This window comes from Homo sapiens, chromosome 11 (assembly GCF_000001405.40).
Source record: "Homo sapiens chromosome 11, GRCh38.p14 Primary Assembly".
Classification (NCBI taxonomy): domain Eukaryota; kingdom Metazoa; phylum Chordata; class Mammalia; order Primates; family Hominidae; genus Homo; species Homo sapiens.
Genome location: NC_000011.10, coordinates 44,993,756 through 45,012,482, shown reverse-complemented (window position 1 = coordinate 45,012,482; position 18,727 = coordinate 44,993,756). Strand labels below are relative to the sequence as shown.

At 42.6% G+C, this 18,727-nt stretch overlaps 1 long non-coding RNA gene across 1 annotated transcript in view; it reads right to left on the bottom strand.

The window, feature by feature from the left end:
- Window positions 1–4,408, bottom strand: part of LOC105376650 (uncharacterized) — a 35,979-nt gene extending 31,571 nt beyond the window's left edge. Inside the window, exon 1 of the long non-coding RNA XR_931237.3 lies at window positions 3,929–4,408. This is a non-coding gene — a long non-coding RNA (uncharacterized LOC105376650). The remainder of the gene's footprint in view (window positions 1–3,928) is intronic.
- Between the last annotated feature and the right edge of the window lie 14,319 nt (window positions 4,409–18,727).

Here is an 18,727-nt window from a genome sequence, read left to right as displayed (position 1 = left end):
CAGGAAACAACAAATGCTGGAGAGGATGTGGAGAAATAGGAACACTTTTATGCTGTTGGTGGAAGTGTAAATTAGTTCAACCATTGTGGAAGACAGTGTGGCGATTCCTCAGGGATCTAGAACTGGAAATACCATTTGACCCAGCCATCCCATTACTGGGTATATACCCAAAGGATTATAAATCATGCTACTATAAAGACACATGCACACGTATGTTTATTGTGGCACTATTCACAATAGCAAAGTCTTGGAACCAACCCAAATTTCCATCAATGATAGACTAGATTAAGAAACTGCAGCACATATACACCATGGAATACTATGCAGCCATAAAAAGGGATGAGTTCATGTCCTTTGCAGGGGCATGGATGAAGCTGGAAACCATCATTCTCAGCAAACTATCACAAGGACAGAAAACAAAACACCACATGTTCTCACTCATAGGTGGGCATTGAACAATGAGAACACATGGACACAGGGTGGGGAACATCACACACCGGGGCCTGTCAAGGAGTGGTAGGCTGGGGGAGGGATAACATTAGGAGAAATACCTAATGTAAATGACGAGTTGATGGGTGCAGCAAACCAACATGGCCCATGTATATCTATGTAACAAACCTGCATGTTCTGCACATGTACCCTAGAACTTAAAGTATAATTTAAAAAATTTTTTTAAGTAAAAAAAGAAAATGTGGCACATATATACCATGGAATACTATGCAGCCATAAAAAAGAATGGGTTCATGTCCTTTGCAGGGATATGGATGAAACTGGAAGCCATCGTTCTAAGCAAACTAACACAAGAACAGAAAACATCTTTTCTTTATAAATATCCAACATCAGGTATTTATTTATAGCAACACACGAATGGCCTAATACAATGGGAATCTTAAAGGATGCAATGAAATCAAACCTCAAAGATTGTCATCTGCAAATATAGAACACATTAGCTGTCACCAAAGCACCCCCCCCCCATACTATGCCAGATGTTATCAATCAACCAGGATACTTTCCCACTGAGCCTCAAGGCTCTGCTCCAGCAGAATTTCTCACATTGACATTACTGACTTTTGGACAGGAGAGTTCTTGGTTGTAGGGGGCCTGTCCAGTGCACTGTTTTAGGGGAATTAGCAGCTTAGCAGCATCCCTGGCAATTATCTGCTAGATTCCATTATCCCACCCCACCTCAATCCTGACATCAAAAATCTTTCCAGAAATTATCAAATATCCCCATGTAGGGCAAAATTGTGCTTGTTGGAAAACCACTGACGCGGACTCAGCTTCAGCATCTTTTCAACACAGCTCTCCAACAGCCTCTGCCAGCCATCATTGGACCATAAAATAAAACCTATTTGGCCAACAAAGCTGGGCTACCTCAGTCAGGTTCAGAGCTTAGTAGGTCAACAATGTAATTTGGCAATTCTATGGCTCAACCTGAGAGCCTTCTATGTGAGGATGACAACAGCCCCAACCTACTATTTCCTGGGGATAAAAAAAGAGTGAGCTCTGCTCAATGAAATTAAAGAGGATACAAACAAATGGAAGAACATTCCATGCTCATGGGTAGGAAGAATCAATATCGTGAAAATGGCCATACTGCCCAAGGTAATTTATAGATTCGATGCCATCCCCATCAAGCTACCAATGACTTTCTTCACAGAATTGGAAAAAACTACTTTAAAGTTCATATGGAACCAAAAAAGAGCCCACATTGCCAAGACAATCCTAAGCCAAAAGAACAAAGCTGGAGGCATCAGGCTACCTGACTTCAAACTATACTACAAGGCTACAGTAATCAAAATAGCATGGTACTGGTGCCAAAACAGAGATGTAGACAAATGGAACAGAACAGAGCCCTCAGAAATAATGCCGCATATCTACAACTATCTGATCTTTGACAAACCTGACAAAAACAAGCAATGGGGAAAGGATTCCCTATTTAATAAATGGTGCTGGGAAAACTGGCTAGCCATATGTAGAAAGCTGAAAGTGGATCCCTTCCTTACACCTTATACAAAAATTAATTCAAGATGGATTAAAGACTTACATGTTAGACCTAAAACCATAAAAACCCTAGAAGAAAACCTAGGCAATGCCATTCAGGACATAGGCATGGGCAAGGACTTCATGTCTAAAACACCAAAAGCAATGGCAACAAAAGCCAAAATTGACAAATGGGATCTAATTAAAGTAAAAAGCTTCTGCACAGCAAAAGAAACCACCATCAGAGTGAACAGGCAACCTACAGAATGGGAGAAAATTTTTGCAATCTACTCATCTGACAAAGGGCTAATATCCAGAATCTACAATGAACTCAAACAAATTTAAAAAACAAACAACCCCATCAACAAGTGGGCAAAGGATATGAACAGACACTTCTCAAAAGAAGACATTTATGCACCCAAAAAACACATGAAAAAATGCTCATCATCACTGGCCATCAGAGAAATGCAAATCAAAACCACAATGAGATACCATCTCACACCAGTTAGAATGGTGATCATTAAAAAGTCAGGAAACAACAGGTGCTGGAGAGGATGTGGAGAAATAGGAACACTTTTACACTGTTGGTGGGACTGTAAACTAGTTCAACCATTGTGGAAGTCAGTGTGGCAATTCCTCAGAGATCTAGAATTAGAAATACCATTTGACCCAGTCATCCCATTACTGGGTGTATACCCAAAGGATTATAAATCATGCTGCTATAAAGACACATGCACACGTATGTTTATTGTGGCACTATTCAAAATAGCAAAGACTTGGAACCAACCCAAGTGTCCAACAATGATAGACTGGATTAAGAAAATGTGGCACATATACACCATGGAATACTATGCAGCCATAAAAAATGATGAGTTCATGTCCTTTGTAGAGACATGGATGAAGCTGGAAACCATCATTCTCAGCAAACTATCGCAGGGACAAAAACCCAAACACTGCGTGTTCTCACTCATAGGTGGGAATTGAACAATGAGAGCACATGGACACAGGAAGGGGAACATCACATACTGGGGACTGTTGTGGGGTGGAGGGAGGGGGGAGGGATAGCATTAGGAGATATACTTAATGCTAAATGATGAGTTAATGGGTGCAGCATACCAACATGGCACATGTATACATATGTAACAAACCTGCATGTTGTGCACATGTATCCTAAAACTTAAAGTATAATAATAATAATAGTAAAAATTTTAAATTTCCTTTTAAAAATAAAGAAAAAAACCACCTTAAAAAAAAAAGAGTGGGCTGGTTTTGGGGGCTCCAGCTTTCCTATGTTGTCTCATGCCAACAGCTGGGGATGTGGTCCCCCCATGGGACTCCCAGAACCACCTAAATGTACCAAGGAGGGCAGCTGTTCTTTGCTGTATCTGCAGAGTGCAGACAGATGATGTGCTGAGGACCAGATGTGACCAGGGTCTTCCTCCAAACCTGTATCTCTGTACAGTGCCTGGCCCCAAGCAGGGAAGTGAAAAAGCCTAGGGTGCTTGTCAAAGTATGGCCCTAGATACTGCATCTGAATCACCTGGAGTGCATATCAACATGCAGGTTCCTGAACCCCACCCTAGATCCTCTGAATCAGCATCTTTGGAGGCTAAAATCTGAAATATGTCTTGCTAACAAGCTCACTGGGTGAGAAAAGTAATACAACAGTTAAAACATATAGACTTTGATTCAAATCCTGATCCTTCTGCTGGTAATATATAATCCAAATAGCTTAATAAGAATGCTATTTTTTATTGAGTGTTTATTATGTGCCAAGCACTGTGCTAAACCAGACCATGCATTTGCCCAGTTAATCAACTACTTTATGTGGGAGGTTATATTTTTAATACCCATGTTTTAGATGGAAAACTAAGGTTCAGGGTGGTTAAGCACACTGCTCAAGACTGTACAACATGAAGTAAGTAAAGCTGGGATTTGAACTGACCTGTTTGCTGCAGCACACTTCACAATTATACTGGAGTCTAAGAGCTGACTGCAGGTTCTACCGGTGCTGGATGATCAACACCCAGTAGTTTTCTTTGCCCTCACAGGGAGGAGATCAGAGGGATGACATGGCAGGGACCTTCACTCCCTGGGGCTTGGTTTTAGTAGCAGATCAGAGTCCCTGAAGACGTAGCCTGAGGGTGAATGAACTTCAGGCACTGTCCTGAGCCTCTCAGTCTCCAGCACGTAGTGGAGATGCCACTGGGTCATCTTGGAGCCAGAAACCCAGTAAGCTTCAGGGAACATGAGGCCATTCTAGAACTTTGAGATTTCCCCTTTCTATCCCATTGTCTAATTCCCCAGAGCCACTAGCTGTCAAACCAGAGAAGGAGGAGGTAGCTGGAACAAAGACACAAAAGCAGGCTCGATGTATGTGACAGAAGATTCTGAAATCCCTTCAGATATTAGGTTCTTCTGCCAAGGCAAGTTGAGAGAGAGAGAGAGAGAGAGTGTGTGTGTGTGTGTGTGTGTGTTGTGGGGTGAAGATTCATTCCATCATTCGATAAATATTTGTTGAGAACTATCTATCCGCTGTGTTCCTGGTTGCTAACTCATAGGCAGGATATTTTTTACATAATGTCATTTATTAAATGCTTTTTATATGTCTGGAACTTCAAGTAAATTAAACATAAATTTTTGTTTTTATAGCACCATGGGTAAAAGTCAAGATTCTAGAATTGGGTGATAGTTTAAATCCTGACACTGCTCATTGCTAGTAATGTGACCTTGGGTGAAGTACTTAGTTTTTCTTAATTTCAGTTTCCTTACCTGCAAAATGGTCATTTTGCCAGAAAATATTCTCAGAGAACCATGTGCTTCTGCATAATAGCATTAATCTTCATTGCAGTTTTATTTTTTGTGTGCTTATCTTATTAATGACTGTATTCACTAATAATAATAGCTAACAATTATAGAAATGTCTACTTCTGTTTAAGATGTAGAGAAGTGTAAAAGGCCTTTGTTCCTGTGGTAACAACAAGAAAAACTCATACAAAATAAAAGTCAGACTTTTTACGGTGCTAGAGAAGAGCTGTAGGATCAAAGAAGCCTCAATGAACTGAATTCCAGAAACAAGAGCTATGGCAGCTCCGCAACTAAAGAGATGCCATTCTGCGTGGGTGGACAAAGGCACATCAACCATAGACGGAGAGACTTTGCAAGGACAAGGAAAAATTATTCCAGCTTGGACCAGAGTATGGGATGGCAGATCAAACGGGTCTGGAAGAGTCCCGAATGCAAAGAGAAGTCACTCAGGCCAGCAAGATGGATAATCTTAGATGCAAGAATGGATCATTCGGTTCAGCAATTTAGCAGCCCCACCGGTCCTGCTTATCTTTTTCTAGAAGGCAGTGGTGGTGGAAAGATACATGAGCAGGGAAAACTTGCATGGTCTCATGCATTCTCGCTGTGATTGGGTTGCAGGACCCTGAAGTAGTTGAATTAAAGTGTGAACCAAAAATAACTGAAACTGCAGCCAATCACCTCTACTCCAAACACTAACAAGATTGGAAAGACAGAGGATGCTGGTGGTTGGCTAACCACAGGTAACTCAATGTAATTAAGCTGTTTCTCATCACCAGCTCAATTACACTCTGAGAAATCTGAGTGATCAGCTTCTCAATCTAACCACCAGACAGCAGAAACGGTTTAGGTGTTCTAAAAAACAAAACTAAAAATAAAAATTACTCTCCAAACTCAATTGTTACTTTATGCACACTCTCAAGAATATAATATAATTAAACACTAGACAAGAGAAGCAATGGGAAAAATGTGACCCACAATCAAGACAATACACAAGTAATAGAAGCAGACATGTCCCAATTAGAATTAGAAAAAAAACTTTAAATATATATGAATAGATTAAGATATTTATGGGAAATAGAATGGATGAAAAGGTGGGATATTTCAGACTATCAGTGAAAGTTCTAAAAAATAAAATGGCAATTCTGGAGGTGAAAATTAAAGTATAACTGAAAATTTATTGGATAAACAGTAGAAAGGGAATCAGTAAACTTAAAGATCGGTCAAGATAAATTGAAACTGAAACATGGAGGGAAAAAAGATTTTAAAAAAATGAACAAAGCACCAACCTGTGGTGTACCATCAGGTAGTATACAGATGTAGAACTGGATCCGATAAGGAAAGGAGAACACAGTATAAACACAAAAAACATCACGATGAGGTATGTTACAGTAACATTGATACAAACCAAGGATAAATAGAAATAACCTAAAAGTGTTCCCGCAAACATGCATTACATATAGGAACAGAATAATAAGAATGAAGGCTAACTTTTTACTGGAAATAGTGCAAGTCAACAAACAATGGAAAATGTCTTCAAAGTGCTGGAAGAATCCAAAGCTGCCAACCACGAATTCTACATCCAGTGAACTATCCCTCGAAAATAAAAGTAAAATCAAGATATTTTCAAGCTGGGCACAGTGGTTCATGCCTGTGATCCCAGCACTTTGGGAGGCCGTGGTGGGCAGATCACTTGAGGCCAGGAGTTCAAGACCACCCACCCTGGGTAACATGGAGAAACCCCGTCTCTACTAAAAATACAAATATTAGCCAGGTGTGGTGGTGAGTGCCTGTAATCCCAGTGGCTTGGGAGGCTGAGGCCTGAGAATTGCTTGAACCCTGGAGGTAGAGGTTGCAGTGAGCTGAAGCCATGTCACTGCAGTCCAGTCTGGGCGACAGAATGAGACCCTGTCTCGAGAAAAAAAAGGAAAGAAAGAAAGAGAAAGAAAGAAAAAGAAAGAAAGAAAGAAAGAAGGAAGAAAGAAAGAAAGAAAGAAAGAAAGAAAGAAAGAAAGAAAGAAAGAAAGAAAGAAAAGAAAAGAAAAGAAAAGAAAGAAAGAAAAGAAAAGAAAAGAAAAAGATATTTTTGGATAAAACCAGAATTTATTGCTAGCAGATTCAGATAATAAGATGTTCAGGCTGAAGCGAAATTGTATAGATAGAAACTCAGATCTACAAGAAGGAATAAAGAGCACCATCAAAGCTAAGTATATATTTTTAAATATAAAAGATTATTTTTTCCTCTTTACTCTAAAAAGCAATTGATCATACACTGCAGGTGCGAATGTAACATGTTCTAGTCATTTTGAAAAACAGTTTAGCAGTTTCTTAAAGAGTTAAACACACATTTGTAATATAACCCAGCAATTTCACTCCTAAGGGCATTTACTCAAGAGAGATAAATCATATGTACACACAAAGATTTTTACAGGACTTTCATAACAGCATTATGCATAATGTCCAAAATGTGAAAACAACACAAATGCCCATCAACTGGTGAATTAATAAACAAAATGTAATACATCCATACAGTGGAATACCACCCAGCAATAAAAAGGAGCAGGCTAATAACACAAGCTACAATATGATGCACCTCAAAAACGTTATGCTAAATTTAAAAAGCCAAATGTGAAAGACTACTTTACATGAGCTGTTCAGAAAAGACAAACTATAGGCACATAAAATATAGCAGTGGTTGCCCAAGGCTGGGAGAGAGGACAATGACAAGTTATTGAAAATTGGCACAAGGTATCTTTTCGGGATGATAGAAATTTTCTAAAATTGTATTGTGGCAATGGTTGTACAACACCATCAATTTACTGAAAATCATTGAATTGTACACTTATACGGTGGCTGGATTTTATGCTATGTAAAGTGGACCTCAATGAAGGTGATAAAAACAGACTGTTAAAAGCAAAAATAATATAATGATATGTTTTAGGTTTTATGTCACATATACAGGTGAAATATTGGACAAAAAATTGACAAATATTTGACAATTCTCAGGCCTCAGCCTCCCAAGTTGCTGGGATTACAGGCACTCACCACCACACCTGGCTAACTTTTCAATCCAAGGATTGAAAGAGGGTAAAATGGAAGTAGAGTGTTTTAAAATTATTACATTATATGTGAAGGTATAATATTAATTCAAAGTAGAATTTGGTAATTACAGATGTATATTTTAGTTCCTAGAGACACTTCTAAAATAAACAGAGCAAAAATACATAGCTTAAAGGCCAATAATTCAAAAGAAGTAATTCAAAAGAAGGCGGGAAAAGATAAAACAAAGAGCAGATTATTACAAGTAGAAGACAAATATTAAGATGATAGACTTATGCCCAACTTATCAGAAATTACAATTATATTAAATAGTGCTCAACACCCCAGTTAAAAGCAGTGGTTGTCAGAATGTGCAAAAAAAGCAAGACGCGTGATGCGCTGTCCACAGGAAACCTATTTTAAATACAAACATAGATCAGTTAAAAATAAAAGGCTATAAAATTATGAAGTATGCAAACATTAAGCATTAGAAAGCTGGTGTGGCTATATTAAGACCTGACAAAGTAGAATATGAGGCAAGAAATATTAAGCAGGGTGTTTTTAAATGATGAAATTGTCAATTATTAAAAAGATATAATACTCTTGGCCAGGCACGGTGGCTCATGCCTGTAATCCCGTAATCCCAGCAAATCACCTGAGGGCAGGAGCTCAAGACAAGCCTGGCCAACATGGTGAAACCCCGTCTCTACTAAAAATACAAAAATTGTAGCCGAGCGTGGTGGCATGTGCCTGTAATCCCAGCTACTTGGGAGGCTGAGGCACAAGAATGGCTTGAACCTGGGAGGCAGAAGTTGCAGTGAACCGAGATCATGCAACTGCACTCCAGCCTGGGAGACAAAGCGAGACTCTGCCTTAAAAAAATAAATAAATAAGAAGATATAATACTCATAAATGTGTAGATGCTTAGTAACAGAGCTTCAAAATATGTGAACTACAGGAAGAAATAGGGAAAATCATAATTATTGTTGAAAATTTAACACTCCTTCCTCAGCCGTTGAGAGACAAAATACCAGTAAGTTTATAGAAGACTTGAGGAACACAATTACTCAATTTAAGCCAATTGACATTTGTAAAATGCTACACTCTAGAACTGCAAAATACACGTTTTTATTTTCAAGTACACGTGGAACAGTCAGCAAGACAGACTAAGAGCTGGGCCAAAAAATAAGTCTCAAGAAATTTCAAAGCACTATAGTTGAACATTGCTCATAAAGTTGAACATCTACTTACCTTATGACCAATAATTGTTTTAGGTATCCAAGAGAAATGGAAACATGCCCACAGTGAGACAGACATACACAAGAATGTTTATAGCCACATTATTCCCAATTACCCAGAAGTGTGCACAATCCAAATATCCATCAACAAGAAAATGGATAAACAAACTGCGGCATATCTACATGATGGAACAGCACTCGGCAATAACAAGGGATAAACTACTGATACACACAACAAAATGGATAAACTGCAACAACACTAGGCTGAGCAAAAGAAGCCAGACACAAAAGATTGTGTACTGTTTGATTCATTTAAATGAATCTCATGAATAGGCAACACTTAGCTAGAGTGACAGACATTAGAATGGTGCAGTAGTTGCCTGTTGGGGAGGGGAGATGGCAGGAATTGACTGGGAAGGGGTATAAAGGATCCATCTGAAGCGATAAGAATGTTCTAGGTCCTGCTTGGGGTTTGGATTATCTAGTTGGAGATTATATGTATATACCCATACATATATACATACATATAGATTTTTTTTTTTTTGAGACAGAGTTTTGCTCTTGTTGCCCAGGCTGGAGTGCCATGGCATGACCCTGGCTCACTGCAACCTCCGCCTCCCAGGTTCAAGTGATTCTCCTGCCTCAGCCTCCCGAGTAGCTGGGATTACAGGCGGCTGCCACCACATCTGGATAATTTTTTGTATTTTTGATTGAGACATGGTTTCACCATGTTGGCCAGGCTGTCTCGAACTCCTAACCTCAGGTGATCCACCTGCCTTGGCCTCCCAAAATGCTGGGATTACAGGCATGAGCCACCGCACCTAGCCTAGAATTTATACATATATATATATTTACATATACCTCACCTGTCAAAACTCTTCTTACTATATATTTAAGATTTGTATACAATTCTTACTTTATATAATATATGCAATTAAGTGTAAATTTACTGTATGTAAAATGTACATTAATTTTCAAAGAAGAAATATAAAAATAAAACCACTGAGCATTATTAGTGCCAGGCACAGATCCAAAGAGTTAACGTGCATTAACTCATGAAAGCTTTACAAATCTTACAAATGGGGAAACTGATGCACCCCAAGGTTGTGTAACTTGTTTAAGGTCACACAACTCACTCACTCCAATCGACAAGATTTGTGTCTGGCATGCTCACCATTGGATCCCAGTGCTCAAATAACAGTGAAGTGTAGCTTTTGAGATGAACATCTCTGTGAGGCAAGAATCATCCACTCTGTTGTCCAAAAGGAACTGAGGCTCAGAGAGGCTAAGTGACTTCTAGAAAGTGGTAGAGTCAGGATTTGAACTTAAGACCAGCTTCTCAAGCTTCTGGCATTCAGTCACTTATCTGCCTGCTCTTGAGAGAAGGTATGAGCCATGCACAGTCCCTCACACACCGCTGGGTAAGTTGGACTTTTTCCACTGCCCCTTTGGGAGAAGTTCAAATGCTCTGTCCAGAACCTGGTCTGTGTCATCACCACCTCAACCCAGGCAGCCATAGATACCCTGTGGGGTAAGGGTGAGTGATTTCAGTGAATATGGCTAATTTTAGGGCTAGAAAGTTTAGAATTTCCCAATTTCTCACCAATATACTCCTTAGACAAATCTTTCTAAGCACCAACCAAGAGACGGGGCTGGGGATACAGCAATGAACAAAGTAATGGAACTTACGCCCCAGTGTGATGAGGCAGGTGATAAACAAGGGAACAATGAATGTCATCTAATTTCCAATGACGTAATAAAAAATAAGTTATGGAAAGAGAAAGTGGTAGAGAGAGCATTCGGCCTGGTATTTTAGTCCATTTTTCTATTTTAGTCCATTTTCACACTGCTATAAAGATACTACCAGAGACTGGGTAATTTATAAAGGAAAGAGGTTTAATTGACTCACAGTTCCACATGGCTGGGGAGGCCTCAGGAAACTTAACGATCATGGTGGAAGGCAAAGGAGAAGCAAGTACCTTCTTTACAAGGTGGAAGGAGAGAGAGTGAGAGAGAAAGAGAGAAAGAGAATGTGTGCACAGGGGAAACTGCCATGTTTAAATCATCAGATCTCGTGAGAACTCCCTCACTGTCATGAGAACAGCATGGGGGAAATCACCCCCATGATCCAATCACCTCCCACCAGGTCCCTCCCTTGACACATGGGGATTATAATTCAAAATGAGCTTTGGGTGGGGACACAGAGCCAAGACATATCACATGCTTCTCTCAGGAGGTGACAATTGATGGGGTGACCTGCAGGAGGTCAGGGAGTGAGCTGAGCCATGGGGAGATCTGGGAGGCGGTACCGCAGAAGCTGCGGGCACCACTCAGGGAAAGTGTGTGAGACAGGGTGGGGACAGGAGGTGCACACCATGCCCAGCTGGCTGGATGTGTTACTCCTGCAGAAATCGTCCTGGCCAAGTTCACTCAAGGTCTTCAAGACAATGAGGGATAAAGGAAGATGCCACTTCTGGCCAGACCAAAATTAGGTCACAACCTAGGAAGGACTAGGGCCAGGCTTTCTGCAAGGGGAGCAGAGAAACATCCTTCCCTGGTGGCCCTGAACACCTCTGGATAAGAACAGCCCCGGTCTCCCCACTCATGCCCAAGTATGGGGCACTTGGAAAACTCATTCAGACGTGGAGCAGGCATGAAGGTCCCATGCATTCTAGGCACTAGGTCAAGGATCGTGTTCATGACCTCGATAACTCCCCACAGTAATCCGAAGGTAGAAAGTGCTGATCCATTTTCTAGCTGAAAAAAGTGAAATTAAGCTCATTGCTGGAAGGTGACAGAAAAGGAGCTGAAGCCTAAATCTATGTAGAAACCCAGGCTTTTCTCTTCCATGATGCTAAGAAGGCTGAGAGCTTTAGATGCAATGACCTTGGCTGCAAGGTTAGAAGGCCAGAATATCTAAGCCTGCGGTAAAAGTTGCCTCGGTGGATGGATGGGTGGGTGGATGGATGGATGGACAGATGGATAGATGGATAGATGGATGGGTGGCTGGCTGGCTGGCTGGCTGGATAGGTAGTTGGGTGGTTGTGTGGATGAATGGATGGATAATGACAGACATGAATAGGAAAGCAGCTCATTTTCTGTAACCTATATGTATGTTTTCAAGAAACTCATTTCCTTTTTCTGAAATTCAGGGTCTCCATCTAGAAAATTGGAGGGTTGGACTTGAATTTCAAACCATCAGATCTTGTGAGAACTCCCTCATTGTCATGAGAACAGCATGGGGGAAGCTGCCCCCATGAGCCATTCACCTCCCACCCAGATCTCTCCCTCCACACATGGGGATTACAATTCAAGATTAGATTTGGGTGGGGTCACGGAGCCAAACCATATCACATGGCTTCTTTCAATTGATGGGGTGACCTGCAGGAGGTCAGGGAGTGAGCTGAGCCAAGGGGAGATTGTTTTTGTACTATTGTTTTAGTAGTAAAATCCTTTCTTCAAATGCTATCTTATGGGAAAGTTGAGTATGATAAAAGAGGACTTTGTTCTGGATAGGGTCAGGGAAGGAGGTGGGCAGAGTACTAGAAGCTCTGCCCCTGGGCATCATCCAGTGAACTCCCCAAAACCAAGGAAAGCCTTGAACAGAGGTGATCCAAAACACCCCAGTTTCAGAAACGGGGGCAAACATGTTGAAGAGGGGTGGCAGAGAAATGGGGATCTTAGCCCAACTCCTAGCCTTTCCTGCCCACATCATATATCACTGCCTAGGCCAGGCATGTTGGCTCATGTCTGTAATCCTAGCATTTTGGGAGGCTGGAGTGGGAGGATCACTTGAGGCCAGGAGTTCGAGACCAGCCTGGGCAACACAGGTGAGACCCCATCTCTACAAAAAATTAAAAAAAAAATAGCTGGGTGTGGTGGTGCATGTCTATAGTCCTAACTACTCAGGAGACTGAGGTGGAAGGATCACTTAAGCCCAGGAGGTCGAGGTTACAGTGAGCTATGATCACGCCTGGGCAACAGAGCAAGACTCTGTCTCTAAACAAACCAAAAAAAAAAAAAAACCCCAAGAATTTCTGCCTAGTGGTTTAGCAAGGGTGCACTTAGTTAATAGTGGTAGCCCAGGGGACACAGTGATGTCTGCTTTTAGCTCCGCTGAGGATGTCCAGATGGGGAGCTGGGCATTGTCTGCAACCCTGCCACATTGCTCACTCTACCCAGAAAGCTGCAGAGAGGAGTGAGTAACTCTGGCCAACCTCTGCTACCTACTGTGCCCTATTTGTGGACCAGACCACAGGTGGGAGCTGGTCAAAGTGGTCAACCTCACCTATTGGGTGATGAGCTTCTTTGGGATCCCCCAGGAAAGAGGACTACACCAGGGTGGATATTCATTTGGTTTTCCTGAGGATGCAAAGCCTCAGTCAGGGTGGGGAATGCTGAGGGCCACTGTTGCTCGTTGGGGGAGGGGTGCGCGGGGGAGGAAGGGACATCATTTTGTGAGCTGGCCTGGGCCTGGTGCCAGGAGACAGCACTCCTGTTGGGGGCCAGTCCCAGAATATTGGAGAAGGGGCCCACATAGTCAGGAATCTCATGGAACTCTTGGGAGACGGATGTCCTTGTTTCTCTGTTGTAGAATATTCTGTTTGAAGTATAGAGCTGAGCGCTTAGGGACATGGAGGCAGGGAGCCTTGGAGTCGGGGGGAGGGTCCAACTCTGCCTTCACTGATCAAGTGACCTCCATTCAGCAAGTTACCTGTCTCCTCTGAGCCTTAGGGTACAGAGGGGCATGTCTGGGAGTGTCTGGCCTGTGTACACCCTGTTTCCTTAGGATGGAGTCCCAACTGTGCTTAGCACAGCTGAAAGAGCCCCCTGAGCTGCCTCAGTTTACCTCCAGCCTCACCTGGCATCACTCTTCCTCTGTCTCTCCCTAGGGCTTTTGCACATGTGGTTTTATCTGAAACATCCTTCTCCCTTTCCTCTCTGTCTCTTCGTGTGTGTATTCTTCAAGGAAATACTAGCTGCTGTAACAAAACTCCAAACATCCACAGCTTAAGATAATAGAAGTTTATTGATTGTTCTCAGAGCAGTACAAAGTGGGTGTTTGGAAAGAAACAGCAACTCCTCCCCTCTGCCATGCTGTTTTATACACCAGCCCTGTCTGGGGGACTGAGCCCTCACAGTAGGGAGAAGTCAAGGCCTCGCCTAAGGAGTGAGATCATTTCTGGGGCTAGTGATCAAGGCAAGTACATGGCTCCCAGACCAGGAACTGGGAGGCAGGAGCAGAGGCCGTAGGAGCTCTCTTATCTTGCTCAAGATATGAAATACTTAGGAGGCAGTGAGTGCCCAGATGGCAACTCTGTACTGAGAGCAGCCCAGCACTAGCACACAGTAAGTCTAAGAGTGGGGCTGCAGGCTCCCAAAGGGCAGATTGGAAGGGACGGGATCCAGGGCAGAGCTTACTCCATGGGGGCCAGGCTCTACCTTGCAGTGGACAGAGAGTGTGTCTTTCACTGTTGTCTTCCTGAAGGGTTTGATCTCTTTGGATATCCAGTGAGTCTCAGCTATGTCCGAGGAAGAATTTGTGTTCACCCTCGTGCCACAGCCTTAAAGAGGAACAGCAGCTGTTAGTGATAGGAATCAAAATGGGAACAATAATAAAAATAACCACAATCACAATAGTGGCTCAGATACATGGAGCAGGTGCTGTGCACCAGACCGCACTATTTTAAGCTCTTCACCGGATTAACTCCTTTAATTCATGCAAGTACCCTGTGAGGCAGGCGCTATTTCTACCCCCATTTTACAGCTGAGGAAATGGAAGCAGAAAGATTCAGCAAGTTGTCCAAGGCCACCCAGCTAGGAAGTGGCTGGGCTGGGAATTTGCCCCAAACAGCCCCATCACCAAGGGATGGGGGGTAACATAGGCCTGTCTGAGCATCTGGTCTACCACCCGTTGTCCACTAGGAGGAATTCCTCCCATGATAGCCTTGGAAGTTCCAGGGTACGTTTTACTTGTGGAAATGATTTTCTTTTCAGAGATCTGCCTTGCCTCCCTCTTTTTTTATTGTTGAGGTATAATTTATATGTAATAAAATGCACAGATCTTAAAATACAGCCCAATAACTTTTAACAAATGTTCACACTGGCATGACCAACACTCCAAGATAGAGATAGAGAACACTTTTCCATCACTCCCATGCTGCCTACCAATCAATTCCCACCACTAAAAGCTACCACTGTTTCACATTGCCCATTCTTGAACTTGACATAAACAGGATTGCACAGAGCACCTGCTTCCCTCTTTTGCCCCCTCCCTCCTCTCCCCTCTGTCTCAGGCCAGTGTCTCCCTAGTCTCAGCACCTTGGTTCACACTGAGCTGTTAGGGATTGCGTGCACAGATGGCGTGAACCTGCCCCATGCTCCCCATCCCATTCCCAGAGTCCACAGCAGGCATCACTCATTAGTGAAGGTGCTCGTTACCACTGGGCCCATATGTGGCTTCAGACTTCTTAACACTATGAATTGTGGACCAGAGAACCCCTGTCAGTTGACTACAATTGGGATGGGAGTTGAAATTCATTTGCCATCTCAGAATTAAAGTACATATCTATTGCCTCGTGGGATCTGCATTTAAAAACATTTTTATTTTGAAATAAAGACTTGCAAGAAGTTGCAACATTAGCATAGAGAGCTCCCATGTACCCTGCATCCAGCTATATCTTGCACAGCCATAGTATAGTCTCAAAATCAGGAAAATGACATTGGTACAATACTGTCAACTAAACTACAGACCTTATTTGGATTTCACCATTTTTAAAAACATATTTATTAATTTGTCTTCATAACTCTATGAGGGAGGTAATTACATAATCATCACTGCCATTTTACATTTAAGTTTCCATTCTAAGGTTCTTTTTTTTTTTTTTCTTTTTTTTGAGATGGAGTCTTGCTCTGTTGCCCAGGCTGGAGTGCAGTGGCACGATCTCAGCTCACTGCAACCTCCACCTCCTGGGTTCATGTGATTCTTCTGCCTCAGCCTCCCGAGTAGCTGGGACCACAGGGGCCTGCCACCACGCCTGGCTAATTTTTGTAATTTTAGTAGAGATGGGGTTTCACCCTATTGGCCAGGTTGGTCTCGACCTCCTGACCTCATGATCCACCCACCTCAGCCTCCCAAAGTCCTGGGATTACAGGCATGAGCCACCATGCCCAGCTGGATTTCACCATATTTTACATGCTCATTTGGAGAGAGAATATATATTTCTGTGAAGTGTAAGGATGGGCATAAGCAAAGAAACTTCCTTATGCTACCCTCCTCTTCCCCCGATAAATGAGTCTTTCATTGATCTAAGTGCCTCTCCCTCCATCAGTACCATGACGTCTTAATTAATGCAGTTATATAATTATAAAACTGTATTTTAATAGGAGTCCAAGACTTAAGCCAAAAGGAAGAAGCCATGGTAGCAAATTTTTGTGAAACCTGGATTCTATGCTTGACTCTGTGTGACCTTGAACAAGTCACTTCACAATTTTCAGTCTTAACTTTTTTATTAGTAAAGTGAGGATAATAATAATCTTTACGTTGCATAACTGAAAGAAGGATTCCAGGAAATTATAAATAGGAATACTCTTTGACCTATAAAGTGCTATCAAGGTGTTAGGGTTGGTATTTTTGAAGGGGCTCAATGAACAACTCCTCTCTTCCCTAAATTCTGAACCAATTAAGAAATAAGACAAAACTGTTACTATTATTACTGATAAAACTGATAATCGTATTGGAAAATTACCCATCAGATGTAATGTTCACTATTTGGGTAATGGGTACCCTAAAAGCTCAATCCCCACCAATATACAATATACCCATATAACAAATATGTGCATGTACCCCCTGAATCTAAAATAAAATGAAATTTTTTAAAAAAACTGATAATAGAACATGCAGCTTATTCTTTTGAGAACACAGGCTTCCTTATGCTGGACTCTGGAATGAGGTAGAGATCCCCAGCTGGGGGCTCTGGGCACTATCCTGCCCTGGGATGGCTTGGGCTAAGTTCTCAGCAACCGAGATAGAGACATGGATCTCTGAGACAGTAATTGGTGATGGCATTGGCAAGGTTTGTTGATGAATTTGATGTGGATGCTGAAGGAAAGGGAGGAAACTCTAGGAAAATATCAATGTTTGCAGCCTAAGGAATTTGGGAGATGATAGTGTCATTTACAAAGAAGGAAAAAATGGGAGTTTGAACTGGTTACTGGTAAGGGAAAAAAATCACAGAGTGATAGCCCACGACTTCTTTGATAGGCCCCAGATGGGCATTGACTCCAATCAGATGGATGCTTAGCCCTGGTCAGCGTCGAAGTCCTGTCTCCATGATATCCAGAAACTTGTGCCTACAGTGTCTATGACCAGGGATGAATGTCAGCTAGAGGGTGGGGCCATGGGAGCACCATCAGTGCCCTCTGAAAGGTCAACCGTCACATGGACTCCACTCTGCCCAGGCCCACGTGGCCCCCTGCCCTCAACCTTCTCAATGCTAGGGCACCTCCAGGACTTACACTGCACCCTAGTGGGCCTGGGGACACAAATAGGACACTGGTCTTTCCCTTCAGGAAAAGACAGCCTGGTGGGAGAAGCTCACCCGCCCTGCAGTTACCTCCTCTCCTAAGAGGCTAAGTGGCTCAAACCTGGGCTTCATGACTCCTCATCTAGTGGTCTTCCTACTCCATCTGCCTCCCCTTCAGAACAATCCCTCTCTTCCCGCACAGCCCATTCTCTAGGGGCTGCCGTCTCTCCCATCGGAGGGGACGGTTGTGATGACAGCCCCAACAGCGACCTGCATGTGGTGCCCACTGTGCTCACAGGACACTGAGCATTTCACTGTGCTCTCTGCTTATTTCCTTGCAAACTGTCCCAAGGTCACCCCAGGGAGCTTTACCCCAGATCACATACAGATTGTGTTTGGGAAAATATTGTTCTCTCCCAGCTGGGAGCCCAGTGCGTGCCAGAAGGCTTAGGGTAGGTGGGGAGGGGAGTGGAAGGGAACTCCCCACTCTGTACTGAACTCAGCCCTGTGGGATAGGGAGTGCATCGTAGGCATGGAAGGACCCATGGAAAAAATACAGTGCAGAACAGCGGCCCTTCCCCTACAGGATAAAGTTTGGACAGCTCTTGCTTGTCTAATCCTGGCTTCAGCAAGTCTGGCCTGTGAGGATGGCCAGGAGGCTGGTCTTCTGAACCACGATCAGAAAGAACAACCACAGTGAACCCACAGAACCACCTGGAAGGTGAGCTGAGGGCAGAGGAAATGAATCCAAGTTCAATACGCAGATGTTCCACCTCCCATCTGCTCAGAGCTTGCCCAGCAAGGACTCAAATTGGGAAATTGTGCCAAGATTTTATCAACCAATAACTGAAAAAATGCAACTGGCTTTTCCTTGGCCCATAAGCCAATTAACAATTTACTTATTTATTATTGTTTTTAGTGAATAAAATAATCATCTGTTGAGAGTTTACCACAGGCACCATGCTAAGTGCCACTTATACTCCGGCTCGTTTAATTCCCTCATCAACTCCAGTACTGTTATAATATCCATTTCGCTGAACAGAACCTAGAGAAGTTACATAGGTTACTTGAGGTCTCACTGCTAGGAGCCGGGGAGGTAAGAATTGAACCAGACCCCTGCAAAACAGGGTTTACACT